The sequence below is a fragment of the Homo sapiens genome, chromosome 6 (genome assembly GCF_000001405.40).
Source record: "Homo sapiens chromosome 6, GRCh38.p14 Primary Assembly".
NCBI lineage: Eukaryota > Metazoa > Chordata > Mammalia > Primates > Hominidae > Homo > Homo sapiens.
This window is the reverse complement of record NC_000006.12, coordinates 63,950,811-63,971,006: the sequence shown is the minus strand read 5'-3', so window position 1 is coordinate 63,971,006 and position 20,196 is coordinate 63,950,811. Positions and strand designations below refer to the sequence as shown.

At 39.3% G+C, this 20,196-nt stretch overlaps 1 protein-coding gene and 1 long non-coding RNA gene across 6 annotated transcripts in view; one reads left to right on the top strand and one right to left on the bottom strand.

The window, feature by feature from the left end:
- EYS (eyes shut homolog) overlaps window positions 1-20,196 on the top strand; it is a 1,987,247-nt gene that overhangs the window by 1,736,220 nt on the left and 230,831 nt on the right. The gene's annotated exons all lie outside the window — the stretch shown is intronic.
- The window catches only part of LOC107986608 (uncharacterized), a 94,049-nt gene that overhangs the window by 73,547 nt on the left and 306 nt on the right, over window positions 1-20,196 (bottom strand). For 2 of the 4 annotated variants that reach the window (XR_001744188.1, XR_001744191.1), the window contains exons 1-2: window positions 5,485-6,009; window positions 2,723-2,803 (exon numbers count right to left, since the gene is read on the bottom strand). This is a non-coding gene — a long non-coding RNA (uncharacterized LOC107986608). Of the gene's footprint in view, window positions 1-2,722; window positions 2,804-5,484; window positions 6,010-20,196 lie in introns of those variants that run through there. The other 2 variants (XR_001744190.1, XR_007059629.1) reach the window with 2 other exon arrangements.

The following is a 20,196-nucleotide window of genomic DNA, read 5'->3' as shown; positions in this document are numbered from 1 at the left end:
CAACCCAGCAATCTTAATATTGCTTCTCAAACGTTCTTTAAATTACTGTTGGCATCTTACTATTTTCCTCATTAATCATTGAGTTAAATAAAATCTTGACATGCATTCATATTGTATTTGCAGGAGTCATGATTTTACCATTATGAAATTATACTTTATCAAAATTGTCTTCCAGTTTCCTTCCTCTCATCATTTTTAAATAAAAATAAGTGGATTAAAATGAAGACAAAGTACACATTGAAGTAAGAAAGCAGTCACAGTGGAGAAGGAGAAAGACAATGTCAACCCTCTTGCTTCAGCACTAGGGAGAAGGACATCACTTCTCTGTCAGCAAGGTGTGCTCCATCATCCCACAGATTTTTTTTTTTTTTTGAGATGGAGTCTTGCTCTGGCCCCCAGGCTGGAGTGCAGCGGTGTGATCTCGACTTACAGCAAGCTCCACCTCCCGGGTTCATGCCAGTCTCCTGCCTCAGCCTCCCAAGCAGCTGGGACTACAGGCACCCGCCACCAGGCCCAGCTAATTTTTTGTATTTTTAGTAGAGACAGAGTTTCACTGTGTTAGTCAGAATGGTCTCGATCACCTGACCTAGTGATCTGGCCACCTCGGCCTCCCAAAGTGCTGGGATTACAGGCGTGAGCCACTGGGCCAGACCCATCCCACAGATCTTCTATCTTGGGAACCATGGCCAGCTTCATGGACATGGGGCCAGTGCAGCAGCACAGGACGCCTTGCTCACAAGGGCCTTCACTAGGAGTGTAATGCTATGAAGTGGTCATCTGAAAATTCTTAACATAATATCTTCAATTTTAGCTTTTGTAAGTGAAGTAAGTTAGAACAATTCTGCAGGTGTCAGGGCCCTGGAGTCACAGATTACATTTAGTCCCACTGTCACCACCTCGCCATGTCTCCAGGGAAAGTTCTCAGCTACCTGCTTTTTCTCTCCAACCCAATAACCCATGGCCATCTCCACTCGTAGCGGGGGTCTGGGTGTGGAGATAGGGAGAGTCAGGGTTGGGTACATACACCACTTGTGCTCAACTCAGGACAGGGTCTCAGTTGCCTGTGAAGTTCTGCTCTCACCCCATGAGTGTCCTCATGACTGAGAAAATGAATGGCATTAAACAGCAAATAAAAAACGTGGTAACAGCTTGCAAGAGAGAGAGAGACTACAACAGAGAGTCAAAAGTTGTTGTAATGCTTTTTGAATTAGGGACTCCTCATTGTCATCTTGAACTGGGCCCCATATATTATGTGACTGGTCCTGTGGGGGATGAAGAACAGGGATTCTCAATGTTGCACTGATTGATGTGTCCAGTCCCCACAGACATGGATTGGCCACTGCAAATATATCAAGTTAATTTATCGTTGATCTTCAAATCTTTGTTTAGCTTCAAATGTGTTTATTTTTATCCTAATGATATGTACTCAGAGAACAAAATAAGTCCTAATAGTACTGCTTGAGGTTATTGAAGGATTCTATAATAATTACAGGGATTTTACAGAATACTTACTCCCTATTTGTTAGTTTTAAACTAATCTACAGAAATCCATTAGGCTATTCTCTCTGCTTAGAATTTAGACAGTGGAAATAAACAAAAATTCCTCATGCTCTTTTTTAAATGCAAATTCATAAAAGCCGGGTTAGGAATACTTTAAATCTGGTTTCTAAGATTTTTACTGGTGTTACCATCTGTATTGATTTTATATTATGAAATTGTCCTTAGACAAAGAAACATCCATACTCAGGTCAGTTTTACAAGCACATCAAAAGAGAGCCTACTATGCTAGTCATTTTGCAAGGCATAAAAATAATGCAAATAATAAATCACAAACCTTATACTCAAGAAGCTTAAGGGGGGGATGAGGATACCACAATATGACATATAAGTGACAAAATATATTGATGCTATATTGAAAAATATATCACTGTGAAAACACTCAGAAAAACAACAATATAAACAGATTTGTAAGTGGAATATATTATTGTGCATCATCACCACAAGCTCAATTTTGATGTATTATGCTATTATTTAAAAATTACATATTACTTCTATATAACCACAAGTACGCTTTGTGTAATATAGATCTACTTTTCACATATTCCTACCAAGTTCTTCTCCTTTTGGATTTGCATTACTGACTAAAACATCTAAAACTGCCAAGTAAGGAAAAATTCCAATGAAATTTCTGAGCTGCCTAGCATGGCTGAGTGGAGACTTAATAGTGGTGAACATCATCAACCCTTTTGAGCCTGTCTGGGGGAGATTTTTACTGAGAGGAAGAGTGAAGTTTATCAAGGGTCATCTGGCAGGAGAGTCTTTTATTAGAGTTTCGAGAAACCTCTGAAATATTCTGCCTTCACCTTTCGAGCCTTGTAGAACAGAGAACTGCAGATCGCATAGCTAATATTCAAACTGAAATTGTACCACATAGGTATGAGAAATCAACTTGACATCAAAGGTTATCCATCTTCCCACACTGCTTTTCTTGCTCAAATCTCAATTCCACAGGTGCTTTTATTTTTGAGTTCACTTTTTGGAGTAAGAAAAAAAGAAAGTTTCCACACATACCCCTGCATTTTCCCCCAATTAGATGCATCTTGCAAATCCAGCTGTGATTCTTTTGTTGTCTCTCAGATGCAGACATATAAGCCCATAACCAAGACTACGAAAATAAAGAATTGTATTTGCCCTTGAAAATATTATGATGTAAGCTACCAACCTTTATTTTCATCTGAAGCTCTCTTCTAATAATGTGCACTAATAATTTCTCTGATATCTTAGTCTTTTTCACAGAATATTCCTAGAAAAAGCAGATAAATGTCAAATTAAAATAGCCCCAAAGAGCACATATAAATATAGAAGACAAATATAAAAAGCATGTTACAAAGGTCTTTCTTTATTATAATTAGTGAAAGCAGAAAAAATTCATAATGTGACAGAAATTCTAGTGGTACTTGTGACAGTACAATCTCACATAACCTAAAACTAAGCTGCAAAAGCCAACCTTATCAAACACTGTTGAGTGATTTTTTTAACTTACTCTGCTGCTTAAAAGCTATGCGATTTGAGGCACATCACTTCACCTCTCAAAATTTGTTTTTGAGGGAGGAGATACCAATACGAGCTAGGATTACTCCCCAGGGCTGTAAGAGGCTGACATAGAACTGCATGTATGGGAATGCTTTCAATTGCAAAACATCATACAAATGCAAGGACATTTTATTATATCTGCACAGAATGTTGAAAAAGAGAGAATGTGAAGGCTGATTTCAACAAGCAGCCTCTGTTTTGCTTATGGGGATTAATTATGGATTTCTACATTTCCAAAATATTCACAAATTCATTTAAATAGTGAGATTCAGAACCAAATGAAACATGGTGAATTGATCAAAACTCCAAAAATTTTTCCAAACTTGCTTATCGTCACTTGTGTCAGGATCACATCCATGCTTTTGATGAGAATATTCAGAGAGAAGTAAATTCCTCTTACCATTGGGTAGCATTGCCAATGTCAAGTCACTGTTTCTCTCTCCTCCAGAAACATCTTAATATGTGGCTATACCACAGTTTTAAAAATATATTCTATTGTCCATTAACACCACACAGGCTACTTCTACACAGTAGTCCACAATTATCCACAGTTTCACTTTTGGGGTTTCAGTTACTGGCAGTCAACTGCAGTCCAAACATATTAAATTAAAAAATTCCAAAAATAAACAATTAATAAGTTTTAAATTGGGGACACTCCTGAATAACATGATGAAGTCTCTGCTGTCCTGCTCCATGGGACATGAATTATCCCTTAGTGTAGCATGTCTATGCTGTATATGCAACCCATCCGCCAGTCAGTAGACATCTTGGTTATCAGACCAACTGTCACATTATCAAAGAACTCGTGTTCAAGTGACACTTATTTTACCTAAAGTGATGCTGGCATATTGTTGCAACTGTTCTATTTTATTGCTAATTATTGTTGTTAATCTCCTGCTTACCTAATTTATTAATTAAGCTTTATCATAAGTATGTACCAAAAGGAAAATATATATACATATATAAAAGTCCTAGTACTGTCTACAGTCTCAAGCATCCACTGGGGGTCCTGGATTGTATCCCCCACAGATAAGGGGAAACCACTGTATTATTGCCAGATAAACCCCTTGCAGGGGGAAGGTAATAATAAAAAAATAGCTAACATCATTGATTGCTTACACTGTATTAATTACTCTATACGTATTATCTCAGTTAATCCTTGTAACAATGCTATGTGGTTCAAGCTATGGTTATCTCCATTGTATAAATAGCTAAGCTAAGGTACAGAGAGGTTAAACGATCCACCCAAGATCACAGCAATAGTAAAAGGGGCAGGGATTAAACTTCAGGCAGTCAGCTTAGCCTCTGCTGTATACTTTCACCCTTTACTGCTTCCTATGGCATGTTCTACTGAAACGGCTCTTATGCTGTTGCTATTGCTTTGAGCAGCAACCAGTTTTTTTTTCCATAAGTTATTAGGGTACAGGTGGTATTTGGTCACATGAGTAAGCTCTTCAGCCATGATTTGTGAGATTTTGGTGCACTCATCACCTGAGCAGTATACACTGCACCATATTTGTAGTCTTTTATCCCTCACCCCCTCCCACTCTTCCCAAGTCCTCACAGTCCTTTGTATCATTCTTATGCCTTTGCATCCTCATAGCTTAGTTCCTACCTATCGATGAGAACATATGATGTTTTGTTTTCTATTCCTGAGCTACTTCACTTAGAATAATAGTCTCCAATCTCATCCAGGTCGCTGCAAATGTTGTTCATTCATTTATTTTTATGGCTGAGTAGTATTCCATTGTGTACATACATACTACAGTTTCTTTAGCCACTCGTTGATTGATGGGCATCTACCAGTTTTTAAGTGCTTTGCAATGCTTCATGAAGGATAACTTCTTTAATTATCTCATTAGTGCACATTTTAAAAATAGACATTGCAACCCCTATGTTATAAAATAATGAAACTGAGGTTAAACACTTTGCTCAAGCTCACAGAGCAGGTGGCATAAGTAGCTTAGCTGGGATTTTAGCCCATATCCGTTTGAATTCTGCGGTTCATATTCTTTCGACAATTTGATGGTAAAATGCCCATGATTCTTTTCACTGGCACTCGTGATATTTACTATTACAGGCTGTGTTTTCTGGGTCTTACTTACTCATACTTTCTAACTACTGGTTATAATGAGCCGTTCCCCCAGATCTTACAAATACCAAGGAAGGTCCAAAAGCCAAACTATGGTGCTGTTTATGTTTTTATGAAAATCAGGCAAATCAACCCAGCTGACACAGCCACCATTTTTTGGCTCCACAGAAAATCATTTACGCAAGTTAGAATTGAAATAGAAAAAGCTCTTTACTCATGAATAAGTTTTTATACATTTTCATGCAGACCTGTTACATTACCAGATGACTCTTACAAGAGAAAGAAGGACAATTTGATACCTGGGTGCTTGTCAAAGGGTTATATTTTCCCTGCTCATCAAAAATGAAATGCACTTTGCACTGGTGAAATCCTCTGTTAAAATTGAAAACAAACCAATTAAAAATAAAAATTACAATGGTGTATAAATGTTACCTATTAGTGTGAGAAAGCAGGGGCAGAAAATCTTAGGTTGGGACACAGTGGGATCACACGACCTTTTCTTCTGCCAGCTGCACAAAGATTAGAAAGGACAGAATATCTGCCTTCATGGCTCTTGTGGAGGAACAAAGCTTATCGATAGTATCTTACACAAAGTAAGAATTATCGATCTTACACAAAGTAAGAATTCTACCCTATAAAGGATAAATACAAAAATAGAAAGGCCCTTTTGAGCCAAAAGCATTCTGTAAGCACAGGAAAGGTAAAATGTTAAGCATATATCCCAAAGTTATTTTTTGAAATAGCCAACTTAATCTCTGTAGCCTGTGTTAAATTTTTTAAGAGAAATCAAAGAACGATATAAGTATAAACTGGTTTACTGCAATAGGAAGAGTCCATGAAGCTAAACTAAGCAAATGTGCAAAGTATTCACCATGGTGAAGATTGTTTTTATTTTAGAAACCTGGCAGTATCTGTTGGCATAATATGACAGTAACTGCCTCATCTTACTGGCTGTTTTTCTTTTTCTATGGCTCTGTCTACTGTAGCCTGAAATTGTCACTTTACTTGTCTGTTAAATCATAAGCAATAAAGGAACTGGTTGTTGTTTTAATTGTACTAACAAGAGGAAAGTATGAGGGGAGAAATTCATGTTTTGCTCTATTTGCCTTGCATTTTTGGATCCAGTGTTCTGATTTATACTGTGACTTATGCTGCTTCAAGACTCAGAGCTAAATTATAAAGTCAGTTTTCAGCTTCAGCAAATCCTCTCTGGGTCCTGCTGTGTTTCCCTTAATGGCAAGGACTAGTGGATTCCATCTGTAAGAAAGCATGTTTTGCATATGAACTACCACAAGGCAAAAGACAAGGCAGAAAAATTGCAAATCAACAGTTCCTTTTCCTGTTGTGTTTGTGGTTGTTTTTTGTTTCTTTTAAACACAGGAGGGAAATCAGCAAGTGATTTCAGAAGAAATCTTTTTTATTGTGGAATTGGAAGAATAATTATTTGATGTTTTGTATGCATATACTTGAAAGCAAAATGCCATTGCTTAATATAAATATAACAGTAGGCTTTAAGATCTGAACTAATCTTGCTAAGATGCACAGCATAAGAAACAGTGGGTTTCTTCAGCTGCTGACTTATACAATACTCTTCCTTGTTGTTCTAGGTTTGTTTATTCTGATGTGAACATAAGTTCATCCCAGCTAGTGGAGAGTCTACTGAGAATACATAAGTATTTCAATTTTACTTCAAATTAAAATGGGGGAAGGAATTAAACTTCCACTGGAAAAAAAAACTGTTACTGTTCTTTATACTGGCCCAAAGGTAGAACAATATTCTCTTTATATTTTGTTTCTCTTAAACCAGATTTAATCTTCCTTCCACTGGGCAGAGTAACAAAAACATTAATAACTTACTGCCACCTACAGATGGAAGATAAGTGTTTGAAAATTCCTGCTACTAGCAAGAAAAATGAACCTGGAGTTCACACTAAAGACCCATAGGTCAAAGAACATAGATCTTATAGGTGCTCAATGTGAGAAATGAATACTTTCCTACCATCAGTAATTAGACTTTGCTTGTAGTTTGAGATTTAAATGAAATTAAAGCTACTGAAAAAATATTCTCCAATGGTATATTCAAGTCATTTTCTTCTCATAAAAGTTTCTTCCTAATGGCAATGAGTTGTCAGTTACTACAGTCTAAGTTTTAAGGAGAGGGTGAAAAAAAATGAAAACCCATAGTCTGTGACAAGCTTGGTGCCAGTCAACATTTGCAATAAGCTGTCCCCTCGCCCAGACCCAGGAATGCCACCTCTCGGTCCTGTGAGCAAGCTGCGCCAGGAGCAGAAAGCAATGCCATTTTCGTGTTATTCTTTCTTGAAGCCACATACCACCAACTTTTCTTGGCACATGTCTGAAGCATCTCAGAGCTACTTCTCACATTTCTCAATGTGCAATTAAATGAATATTTCTTTTCTCCTTGTATACAGTATTTATGCACTTTTTTTAGTCCTTTTTTAATTTTCTTTTATAAAGTTAAAGAGTTCATATGACTTTGTTACATGATTGGGTTTTATTGCTTTTTCAAATTAGCATTTCTTTTTTTTTTATACTTTAAGTTTTAGGGTACATGTGCACAATGTGCAGGCTAGTTACATATATATACATATGCCATGTTGGTGTGCTGCACCCATTAACTCATCATTTAACATTAGGTATATCTCCTAATGCTATCCTTCCTCCCTCCCGCCTCCCCCTTCCCCCCACCCCACAACAGGCCCCTGTGTGTGATGTTCCCCTTCCTGTGTCCAAGTGTTCTCATTGTTCAATTCCCACCTATGAGTGAAAACATGCGGTGTTTGGTTTTTTGCACTTGCAATAGTTTGCTGAGAATGATGGTTTCCAGCTTCATCCATGTCCCTACAAAGGACATGAACTCATTCTTTTTTATGGCTGCAAAGTATTCCATGGTGTATATGTGCCACATTTTCTTAATCCAGTCTATCGTTGTTGGGCATTTGGGTTGGTTCCAAGTCTTTGCTATCGTGAATAGTGCCACAATAAACATACGTGCGCATGTGTCTTTATAGCAGCATGTTTTATAATCCTTTGGGTATATACCCAGTAATGCGATGGCTGGGTCAAATGGTATTTCTAGTTCTAGATCCCTGAGGAATCACCACACTGACTTCCACAATGGTTGAACTAGTTTACAGTCCCACCAACAGTGTACAAGTGTTCCTTTTTCTCCACATCCTCTCCGCACCTGTTGTTTCCTGACTTTTTAATGATCACCATTCCAACTGGTGTGAGATGGTATCTCACTGTGGTTTTGATTTGCATTTCTCCGATGGCCAGTGATGATGAGCATTTTTTCATGTGTTTTTTGGCTGCATAAATTTCTTCTTTTGAGAAGTGTCTGTTCATATCCTTTGCCCACTTTTTGATGGGGTTCTTTGTTTTTTTCTTGTAAATTTGTTTGAGTTCTTTGTAGATTCTGGATATTAGCCCTTTGTCAGATGAGTAGATCGCAAAATTTTTCTCCCGTTCTGCAGGTTGCCTGTTCACTCTGATGGTAGTTCCTTTTGCTGTGCAGAAGCTCTTTAGTTTAATTAGATCCCATTTGTCAATTTTGGCTTTTGTTGCCATTGCTTTTGGTGTTTTAGACATGAAGTCCTTGCCCATGCCTATGTCCTGAGTGGTATTGCCTAGGTTTTCTTCTAGGGTTTTTATGGTTTTTGGTCTAACATCTAAGTCTTTAATCCATCTTGAGTTAATTTTTGTATAAGGTGTAAGGAAGGGATCCAGTTTCAGATTTCTACATATGGCTAGCCAGTTTTCCCAACACCGTTTATTAAATAGGGAATCCTTTCCCCATTTCTTGTTTTTGTCAGGTTTGTCAAAGATCAGATAGTTGTAGATATGCAGCATTATCAAATTAACATTTCTTACATTTTTCTAAGTCTATAATGTAAATTTGGAAAAGAAAATTAAGAGAATATACAGGAAGATTCTTGAAGAAACATTGAAGATTGGTCTATAGTCTGAATGTTGGTGTACCATCAAAATTTATATGTTGGAATGTATACCCAATGTGATAATACTTAGAAGTAGGACCTTTAGGGGGTGACTAGGTTACAAGGGCTCCACCATTACGGATGGGATTAGTGTCCTTCCCCTATAAAAGAGACTTGAGGGGTCTGTTTGTCCCTTCTGTCATACGTGTCCATGTGAAGAGACCACCAAACAGGCTTTTTTATAAATATAGAGCAATAAATATAAATAAATATAAATAAAGAGCAATAAAGCTGTTTATTTCACGTGGGTGCAGGCGGGCTGAGTCTGAAAAGAGAGTCAGCCAAGGGAGACAGGGTGGGGCTGTTTTATAGGATTTGGGTGGGTAGTGGAAAATTACAGTCAAAGGGGGTTTCTCTCTTGCAGGCAGGGGCGGGGGTCACAAGGTGCTCAGTGGGGGAGCTTCTGAGCCAGGAGAAGGAATTTCACAAGGTTAATCGCTCAGTTAAAGGGGGGCAGAAACAAATCACGATGGTGGAATTTCATCAGTTAAGGCAGGAACTGGCCACTTTCACTTCTTTTGTGATTCTTCACTTGCTTCAGGCCATCTAGATGTATACGTGCAAGTCACAGGGGATATGATGGCTTAGCTTGGACCCAGAGGCCTGACACCTTCCACCATCTTTGAAGTAAGCCCTAATCAGACAATCTGCTGGCACCTTGATCTTGGACTTTGCAGCTTCTAGAACTCTGACCAATAAATTTCTTTTGTTTATAAATTACCCAATCTATGTTATTTCGCTGTAGCAGCAGGAGCAGACTAAGAGATAATCTAAGATGTAGTAAAAGGCAATGACTAAGAATAGATTCACATACAGGTAGGTAGGTGGTTGAATTTGGATGAGGTTATTTACAGACATACCTTGGAAACATTGTGGATTTGGTTCCAGACCACTGCAATAAATCCAGTATGACAATAAAATGAGCAGATGAAATTTTTGGTTTCTCAGTGCAATAAAAGTTATGTTTACACTTAACTATAGTATATTAAGTGCACAAGAATATTATGTCTAAAATAAAATGCACATACCTTAATTTAAAAATACTTTATTACTAAAAAATGCTAATGACCATTTAAGCCTTCGGCAAGTCCTAATCTTTTGCTGGTAGAGAGTCTGTCCTTGATATTGATCACTGCTGACTAACCAGAGTAGTGGTCACTGAAGGTTAGAGTGGCTGTGGCAATAAGATAATAATAAAGTTTGTCACATTGACTCTTCTTGTCATGAAAGATTTCTCTGTAGTACCCAATGCTGTTTAATAGCATTTAACCCATTAATTGAAACCCAGAACTTGTTTCAAATCCTGCCACTGCTTTATCAACCAGGTTTATGTATACTCTAAATCCTTTGTCATCATTTCAACAATATTCATAGCATCTTCACTGGTAGAGTCCATCTCAATAAACCAATTTCTTTGCTCATTTATAAGAAGCAACTCCTCAAACTCAAGTTTGATCATGAGATAATAGCAATTCAGTCGTATCTTCAGGCTCCATTTCTAATTCTAGTTCTCTTGCTTTTTCAGCCACATCTGCAATTATGTGTTCCACTGAAGTCCCGAACCCTCAAAGTCATCCACATGGATTGTAATCAACTTCTTCCAAACTCCTCTTAATGTTGATATTTTGACCTTTTCCCATGAACCATGGATGTTCTTAATGCATCTAGAATGGTGAATCTTTTCCAGTTTTCAATTAACTTTTCCTAGATCCATCAAAGGAATCACTACCTATGGCAGTTATAGCCTTACAAAATGTAATTCCTTTTTTTTTTTTTAATTTTACTTTAGGTTCCAGGATACATGTGGAGAACATGCAGGTTTGTTACATAGGTATACATGTGCCATGGTGGTTTGCTGCACCTATCAATTCGTCATCTAGGTTTTAAGCCCCACATGCATTAGCTATTTGTCCTAATGCTTTCCCTTCCCTTACCCCCCACTCCCCTACAGGCCATGGTGTGTGTTGTTCCTCTGTGTCCATGTGTTCTCACTGTTCAACTCCCAGTTATGAGTGAGAACATGTGGTGTTTGGTTCTCTGTTCCTGTGTTACTTTGCTGAGGATGATGGCTTCCAGCTTCATCCATGTCCCTGCAAAGGACATGATCACATTCCTTTTAATGGCTGCATAGTATTCCATGGTGTATATGTACCACGTTTCCTTTATCCAGTATATCACTGATGGACATTTGGGTTGGTTCCAGGTCTTTGTTACTGTAAATAGTGCTGTAATAAACATACATGCAGATGTGTCTTTATAGTAGAATAATTTGTATTCCTTTGGGTATGTACCCAATAATGGGATTGCTGGGTCAAATGGTATTTCTGGTTCTGGATCCTTGAAGAATTGCCACACTGTCTTCCCCAATGGTTGAACTAATTTACATTCCCACCAGCAGTGTAAAAGCACTCCTATTTTTCCACAGCCTCACCAGCATCTATTGTTTCTTGACTTTTTAATAATCACTATTCTGACTGGCATGAAATGGTATCTCATTATGGTTTCAATTTGCATTTCTCTGATTATCAGTGATGTTGAACTTTTTTTCATGTTTGTTGGCTGCGTAGATGTCTTCTTTTGAGAGTTGTCTGTTCATATCCTTTGCCCACTTTTTGATGGGGTTGTTTTATTCTTGTAAATTTGTTTAAGGTCCTTTTAGATTCTGGATATTATACCTTTGTCAGATAAGCAGATTGCAGAAATTTTCTCCCATTCTATACGATGCCTGTTCACTATGATGATTGTTTCTACAAAAAGTGTTTCTACATAATAAGACTTGAAAGTCAAAATACACCTGGACCCATAGGCTTCTGAATGGAAGATGTATCAGCAAGCATGAAAACAACATTAGACTCCTTGTATTCATCTATCAGAACTCTTGAGTGTCCAGGTGCATTGTCAGCGAACACATTTCAAAGGGAATCTTCTTTCTGAGCAGTAGATCTCAATAGTGGGCTTAACTTATTCCATAAACCATGCTGTAGAGATCCTGTAATCCAGGCTTTTTTGCTGCATTTGTAGAGCACAGGCAGAGTAATTTTTGGAATGGTAAGTGAGCACTGACTTCAACTTAAAGTCATTAGCTGCATCACTTTCTAACAGGAGAGTCAGCCTGTCCTTTGAAGTTTTGAAAACAGGCATTGACTTCTCTTCTCTACCTATGAAAGTCCTAGAAGGCATCTTCTTCCAATATAAGGCTGCTTTCGCTACATTGAAACTCTGTTGTTTAGTGTAGCCACTTCCATCAATGATCTTAGTTAGATCTTCTGAATAATTTGCTGTAGCTTGTACATCAGCACTTGCTGCTTCACCTTGCACTTTTATGTTATGAAGAGAGGATTAAGTTTCAACATGAACATTGTGGGGGCCACAAACATTCAAACCATAGCAAACCTCGTGTAACATAGGCCTCCTTCCTCCTCCACTATGACCATTATTCTCTTCCATTGCCAGATTTTCTTCCTCTATAGTTTATTTCATAATCTGTATTTATATTATTTTTTCTCTTTTGTCACTTGTAGAGTATATATCTGTTCAGGTAGACTGATAGCTTAATTGGTATGGAACCATAGCTGTTCCATTCATAATTTATTTCCAACACCTAACATAGGTCTGGAACACTCTCAATAAATATTTGTTCACTCAAAATGAATTATATTAGTTGATTGTGACCACAGATTTGACTCCCCACATTAGCACATTAGCTTGACTATTAACCATGGTCATAGATTATATAAACATCTATCTATAAACGTCTTGAAAATTCTTGTTCTTGAATTAAGGAGAAACAAGAAAGAGGATAAATATGGGTCAATTCAAAGTCTTTGCTAATTAAAAATCAACCCAAATTTATGCCTCTCAGTAAGTTGCACTAAATTGTTTGTCTGTCATAATCAGATTTTACAGAAAATGTATGTTGTCAATATGATGGCCTTCAACTGACCTTGTTTCTTTACTAAAAACAGAACTTTTTGATAAAATGTTTGAGTGTCAAGTCTAGCTTTCATACATTTATTTTGTTGATAGCTCAGGAATTTTGGCATCAGAGAGAGCAGTACTCTAGAGTGGAGAAAGTACTTAAGAATATTGTAAGTTAGAACCTAATATACATGGTATCCAAACAGGATTTTTCTTTAACTTTTAGGCGCTGTAGCATAAATGATTTTTCAGATTTATAGTTTGAATAAAGAATTTAATTCACTGAATACGAGAAATAGCTTTCAGCATAGCAGGCAAGCTTCATTCTGTCAACAAACAGTTATTGAGCTTTTATTATTTAATAGAAGAATACAATTACTCTACAATATTTGTGAATTCCTATTTAAAAATTTACCTACTAAAATGTATTTGTAACCCCAAAATCAATACTGGTAGCATTTTGGCAATCATTTGAGGTCATTCACAGATATGCACAGAGACAACATTTTAAGTCACTTGAGAAGCAAGCTCTGAGCTGAGGCCAAACAAGGTTGCACTCTGCCTTGTTGTTCCAGCTCTTGCACATAAACAAGTGTCCTTTTTGAGGTCTGTTCAGTGAAGCCACATTTTTTTACATTTTCTGTTTTTTGTTGGTAATTTCACTGTTTAAAATAGCCCATAAATGTAGTGTGGAAGTGTTATCTAGTGTTCCTAAGTACAAGAAGACAGTAATGTGTCTTTCAAAAAAATATTGTCTTACATAAGCTTCATCCGGGCATGAGTTATAATGCTATTGGCTATGAGTTCAGTGTTAATTGATCATCAATATAGTACATCCAGAAAAAGGAAGAGCAAATTTATCAATCTGTGCAAAAGGACACTCCAGAAAATGCTAAAGTAACATCTGTAATGTGTGATGAAGCTATAGTAAAAGTGGAAAAGTGGTTAAATTTGTAGTTTCATGAGATGATAACCAATATTTAAAAGGTGTATTGGAGACCACTGTTGTAAGGCTAAAAGCCAAAAAAAAATTTTAGTCACACTATCCAGGGGCGGGAAAATTTTAAACTTTTTTGGCAAGTGCTGGCTAACTTGCACATTTCAAAAGGCAGTATGTGTGGGAAATACGTGTTAAACTTGCAGACAAGGCAAGTTTTGCAGATAAGGAGGCTATGGAAGATGAATATGGTAATTAGCTTGATTAAATAATTTCATAATGTATGTATGTATATCAAAACATCACATTGCACTTGTGTCTTATAAAGACATCCAATTGTCAATTAAAAATAAAATACATATAGAAAATAATGCTTTAAATACCCACCAAACGTTCTATGGGAAAAAGTTTATGTGGAAAAGCAGTGTCATGCACGTCCATGTGAAGAGACCACCAAACAGGCTTTGTGTGAGCGATAAAGCTTTTTAATCACCTGGGTGCAGGTGGGCTGAGTCCAAAAAGAGAGTCAGAGAAGGGAGATAGAGGTGGGCCGTTTTACAGGATTTGGGTTGGTAATGGAAATTATAGTCAAAGGGGGTTGTTTCTGGCAGGCAGGGGCGGTGGTCACAAGGTGCTCAGTGGAGGAGCTTCTGAGCTAGGAGAAGGAATTTCACAAGGTAATGTCACCAGTTAAGGCAGGAACCAGGCATTTTCACTTCTTTTGTGATTCTTCAGTGGCTTCAGGCCATCTGGATGTACACATGCAGGCTTGGGCTCAGAGGCCTGACATTCCTGTCTTCTTATATTAATAAGAAAAATAAAATAGTGTTGAAGTGTTGGGGCAGTGAAAATTGTGGGGGGTGGTATGGAGAGATAATGGGCAATGTTTCTCAAGGCTGCTTCGAGCTGGATTAGGGGTGGTGTGGGAACCTAGAGTGGGAGAGATTAAGCTGAAGGAAGATTTTGTGGTAAGGGGTGATATTGTGGGGTTGTTAGAAGAAACATTTGTCATATAGAATGATTGGTGATGACCTGGATATGGTTTTATATGAATTGAGAAATGAAATGGAAGACACAAAGTCCAAATAAGGGAAGGAGAAAAACAGGTATTAAAGGACTAAGAATTGGGAGGACCCAGGACATCCTATTAGAGAGCACCCAAGGGGGTTCAGCGTAATTACTTGTTTGGTTGGTGAGTTTTTTGGGCTGTATCCTTGAGTTTTTTTTTATGTTGTCATATACCAGGCCAGATTGATTTAGGCAAAAACAAAACTCTTCATTTAAACATCATAATACAGAGTCCTCTTTTTTTAAGCAGTAAGTCAAGGCCTCAGTGATTTTGGAGGAAAGAGAAATGCAAAGCCAGCAATTGTTTGTTAAAGAAGGATTAGAAACAGCTAGAAGAGAGCGAGTGAGATTGATAGTGTAGTGGAGATAGCTGGGGAGAGGTAGAGGGTGGCATAAGAATGGGAACGAGAATAAGAGTGAATATAAAAGTAAAGAATAGGACTTCATCAGGGTGAAAGTATTGAAGTGTACCTTGCCACTGAAGATCTTTAATCCACTTTAAGAGAGACTTATGGGTGGCAGTTTGAGGTAAAACCAGGAGATATCAGTTATGGTGGTTTGGAGGAAAAGTGTAAACCGGCAGTGTAAACAAGGGCAGGGCATTTACAAGTAGTTGAGAATGGTGAATAAGAGTATGATTAGACAGAAGATAGGGATGAAGGCTGGTCTGTTATTGGAGTGTATAGAGGTGGGAAGGCCAAACTAAGGAATTATGTTTGACAGAAGGGAAGAAATGACTGTGCTGGCCTTCTCAGACCCTGTGGGAAAGGCCTCTACTCATTCAGTGAAAGTGTCTACCCAGACCAAGAGATATTTTAGTTTTCTGACTCAGGACATGTGAGTAAAGTCAATTTGCCAGTCCTTCACAGGGGCAAATCCCCAAGCTTGATGTGTAGGGAAGAGAGGGGGCCTGAACAATCCCTGAGGAGTAGTAGAATAGCAGACAGAACACTGAGAAGTTATTTCCTTGAGGACAGATTTCCGTGATGGAAAGGAAATGAGAGGTTCTAAGAGTTGGGCTAGCGGATTGTAACCTACATGGAAGAGGTTATGAAATGACAACAGAATAGAATAGGCCTGTGAGGTGGGAAGGAGATATTTTCCTTGGTCCAAGAACCATTTGCTTTCTGTGGGAAGAGATTGATAGGTGGAAGTTTCAGCGGGGAGTAGGCAGGAGTGACTGATGAGAAGAACAACTGCCGTGAGGAATAGAAGTTGGAACTCTAACTGCTTTTTTAGCTACCTTATCAGCATAAGCGTTACCCTGAATGATGGCATCTGATGCCTTTTGATGGCCCTTGCAGTGAATGACTCCCACTTCCTTTGGAAGTAAAGCGGCCTTGAGAAGAGTTTTTATTAAAGAGGCATTAATGATGGGGGACCCTTACATAGTGAGGAAATTTCTTTCTGCCCATATAACAGCATGGTGGTGCAGGATATGGAAGGCATGTTAAGAGTCAGTATAAATATTGATGCCTCGTCCCTTTGCAAGAGTGAGGGCCTGAGCTAAGGCAATGAGTTCAGCTTGCTGAGAGGTAGTGGAGGGGGGCAAAATGGTAGCCTCAATGATAGATGTGGAAGATACTATAGCATAGCCTGCCTTTGCTGGTGAGTGGTGATTAGGCCTGGTGGAACTGCCACTGATAAACCAAATGTGATCAGGGTGAGGAAAAGGAAAGAAGGAAATATGGGGAAATGGAGTGAATGTCAGGTGGATCAGAGATATACAGTCACAGGGGTCAGTTGTCGTATCCAGAATAATGTGGAAAGCTGGATTGAAGTCTGGACCAGGAACAATGGTAATTGTGGGAGACTCAACAAAGAGTGAGTATGGCTAAATGAACCAGGGAGCAGAAAGTATATGCATCAGGTGTGAGGAAGAAAACAGATTTTGGAAGTTATGAAAACTGTAGAGAGTCAGTTGAGCATAGTTTGTGATTTTGAGGGCCTCTAAAAGTATTAGGGCAGTGGCAGCCACCACACACAGACATGAGGGCTACGCTAAAACAGTAAGGCCAAGTTGTTTGGACAGAAAGGCTACAGGGCATGGTCCCAGCTCTTGTGTAAGAATTCTGATTGCACAGCCCTGTATTTCAGCTGTGTGTAATGAAAAGAGTTGAGATGAGTTAGGGAGAGCTAGTATGGGAGCAGTTTTTAGGGCTTTTTAAGGAATGGAAAGGGGAGTGGGGAAAGAATTTAGGATTTATGGGGTCAGCTAGGTTTTCTTTTGTGAGTTTATATAATGGTTTAGCCAGGATGGTAAAACTATGTATTTAAAGGCAGAAGTACCTAACCATGTCCAGGAAGGAAAGGAGTTGTTGTTTTGTAGAAAGGGTTGGGGTTTTGGAGTTTAGCCAGACATGATTAGCAGGGAGAGCACATTTGTTTTTATGAAGAATTATGCCAAGATACGTAACAGATGAGGAAGAAATTTGGGCTTTGGAGGGGGATACACGATATCCTTCTGAGAACAGATGTTGGAGGAGCAGGAGGGTGTCCTGTTGGGAAGATTTGTAGGAGGGGCTATAAAGTAGAAGGTTGTCAAAATATTTAATTAGGTGAGAAGCAGATGGATGGAAAGAAAGTAAATCATGAGAAAGGGCTTTACTGAAGTAATGAGGACTGTCCCTGAAGCCTTGCGGCAGTACAGCCCAGGTAAGCTGCTGGGACTAATGGGTGTCAGGGTCAGTCCAGGTAAAAGCAAAAACAGGCTGGGATGAGGGGTGCAGGGGAATAGTGAAAAAACCATCTTTAATGTCAAGAACAGAATAGTGAGTTGTGGAGGAAGGTATTGAGGACAAAATAGTGTATGGGTTGGGCACCACAGGGTGGATAGGCCAAACAATTTGGTTGATAAGGCACAGATCCTGAACTAACCTGTAAGACTTGTCCAGTTTTTGGACAGGTAAAATGGGAGAATTGTCAGGAGAGTTTATAGGCTGTAAAAGGCCATGCTGTAACAGGTGAGTGATAATGGGCTTTAATCCTTTTAAAGCATGCTGTGGGATGGGATATTGGCGTTGAGCAAGATAAGTGTGATTAGGTTTTAATGGGATGGTAAGGTTGCATGATCAGTCCCCAAGGAGGAGTAGAGGTGTCCCATACTTGTGGGATTAAGGTGGGGAGATACAAGGGGAGGATGTGAAGGAGGCTTTGAACTGGGGAAAAGGGCAGCAATGAGGTGTGGCTGTAGCCTAGGAATAGTCAGGGAAGCAGATAATTTAGTTAAAATGTCTCAACCTAATAAGGGAGCTGGGCAGGTGGGGATAACTAAAAAGGAGTGCATAAAAGAATGTTGTCCAAGTTGGCACCAGAGTTGGGGAGTTTTAAGAGGTTTAGAAGCCTGGCCATCAATACCTACAACAGTTATGGAGGCAAGTGTAACAGGCCCTTGAAAAAAAGGTAATGTGGAGTTGGTAGCCTCCATATTGATTAAGAAGGGGACCGACTTACCCTCCACTGTAAGAATTACCCAAAGCATCTGTGATGGTCCAGGAGGCTTCTGAGGCAATTGGGCAGCATCAGTCTTCAGTTGCTAAGCCGAGAAGGCCTTGGGCCAGAGTTCCAGGGGCTCTGGGAGTGGCTGCCGGGTGAGTTGGATAGTCCGATTTCCAGTGAGATCCCACACAGATAGGACATGGCTTAGGAGGAATCCTGGGCTGTGGGCATTCCTTGGCCCAGTGGCCAGATTTCTGGCACTTGAAGCAAGATCCTGATGGAGGAGGTCCTGTAGGAATGCTTAACCGCTGTGGCTTAGGCATTTTGAAGTTCTTGTGTGCTGGAGGTGCGGCTGGGTTTTGCCTCACAGAGGAGGAAAGTAATTGCAACTCTTCTCTGTTATTGTACACCTTGAAGGTGAGGTTAGTTGAGTACTTTTGTGGGGTTTGAGGGCTGGAATCTAATTTTTGGAGCTTTATTTAATGTCGGGAGCAGATTGGGTAATAAAATGCATATTGAGAATAAAATGGCCTTCTGACCTTTCAGAGTCTAGGGCTGTAAAGCATCTCAGGGTTGCTACCAAACAAGCCATGAAATGGGCTGGGTTTTTATTTTTGGTGAAAAAGAGTCTAAATGCTAACTGATTTGGGAGAGGTTGGATAAAGAAAAAAAGCATTAACCTTGAGTATACCTTTAGCTCCAGCCACCTCTTTAAGATGAAATTGTTGGGCAGGTAGGGAAGGGCTAGTCGTGGAACAAAACTGTAAGCCAGACCAGGTGTGAGGAGGGGAGGAGATAAAAGGATTATAGGGTAGAGGAGCAGAAGCTGAGGAAGAATTGGAGCCTGATTCAGCCTGGTGGGGAGTGACCTGAGGAGGATCAGTCTAGGGATGAGGGGAGAAGTCAGATGGGTCGGTAGAAAAGGAAGATTGAAAAGACTCAGTGATGCTTGGGGTTCAGACTGAGGGGACAGGTGGGAGGGAAAGGAGGAGGATTTGGGACAAGTCACATTGGGAACAGAGACTAGGGAGGGTTCGATGTGTAAAAGAATGCCTGGACATCAGGCACCTCAGACCATTTGTCCATTTTACAACAAGAATTACCTAGATCTTGTAGGATGGAGAAATCGAAAGTGACGTTTTTTGGATATTTGGAAAAATTGTCGAGTTTATATTGGGGTCAAGTGGCATTGCAGAAGAAAGTAAGGCATTTAGGTTTTAGGTCAGGTGTGAGTTGAAGAGCTTTTAAGTTCTTGAAAACACAGGCTAAGGGAGAAGAAGGAGGAATGGTGGGTGGAAGGTTGCCTATAGTGAAGGAGGCAAGCTCAGACAAAAGAGAGGGTAGAGACACGGAGAGAAGGGGTGAGGGGTGCTTGCCCCCTAGGAAAGTGGTGCTTGACACTAAGGGTGAAGGATCAAGGCAGGCATCCCCGTGGTGATCAGACACCTCTGAAATGTCGGTGAATAATCAAGCAGGCATCCCCGCAGTGATTAAACACTAAGGGAAGACTGTCTTCCCAAGTATGTGACAGGCGCCGGAGTTTTGGGTTCACGGATAAAACACATCTCCTCTGTCTCTACCAGAAAAGGAAAGGAACTGAAATTAAAAGAAGGGAGAGATTGAAGGGTGGC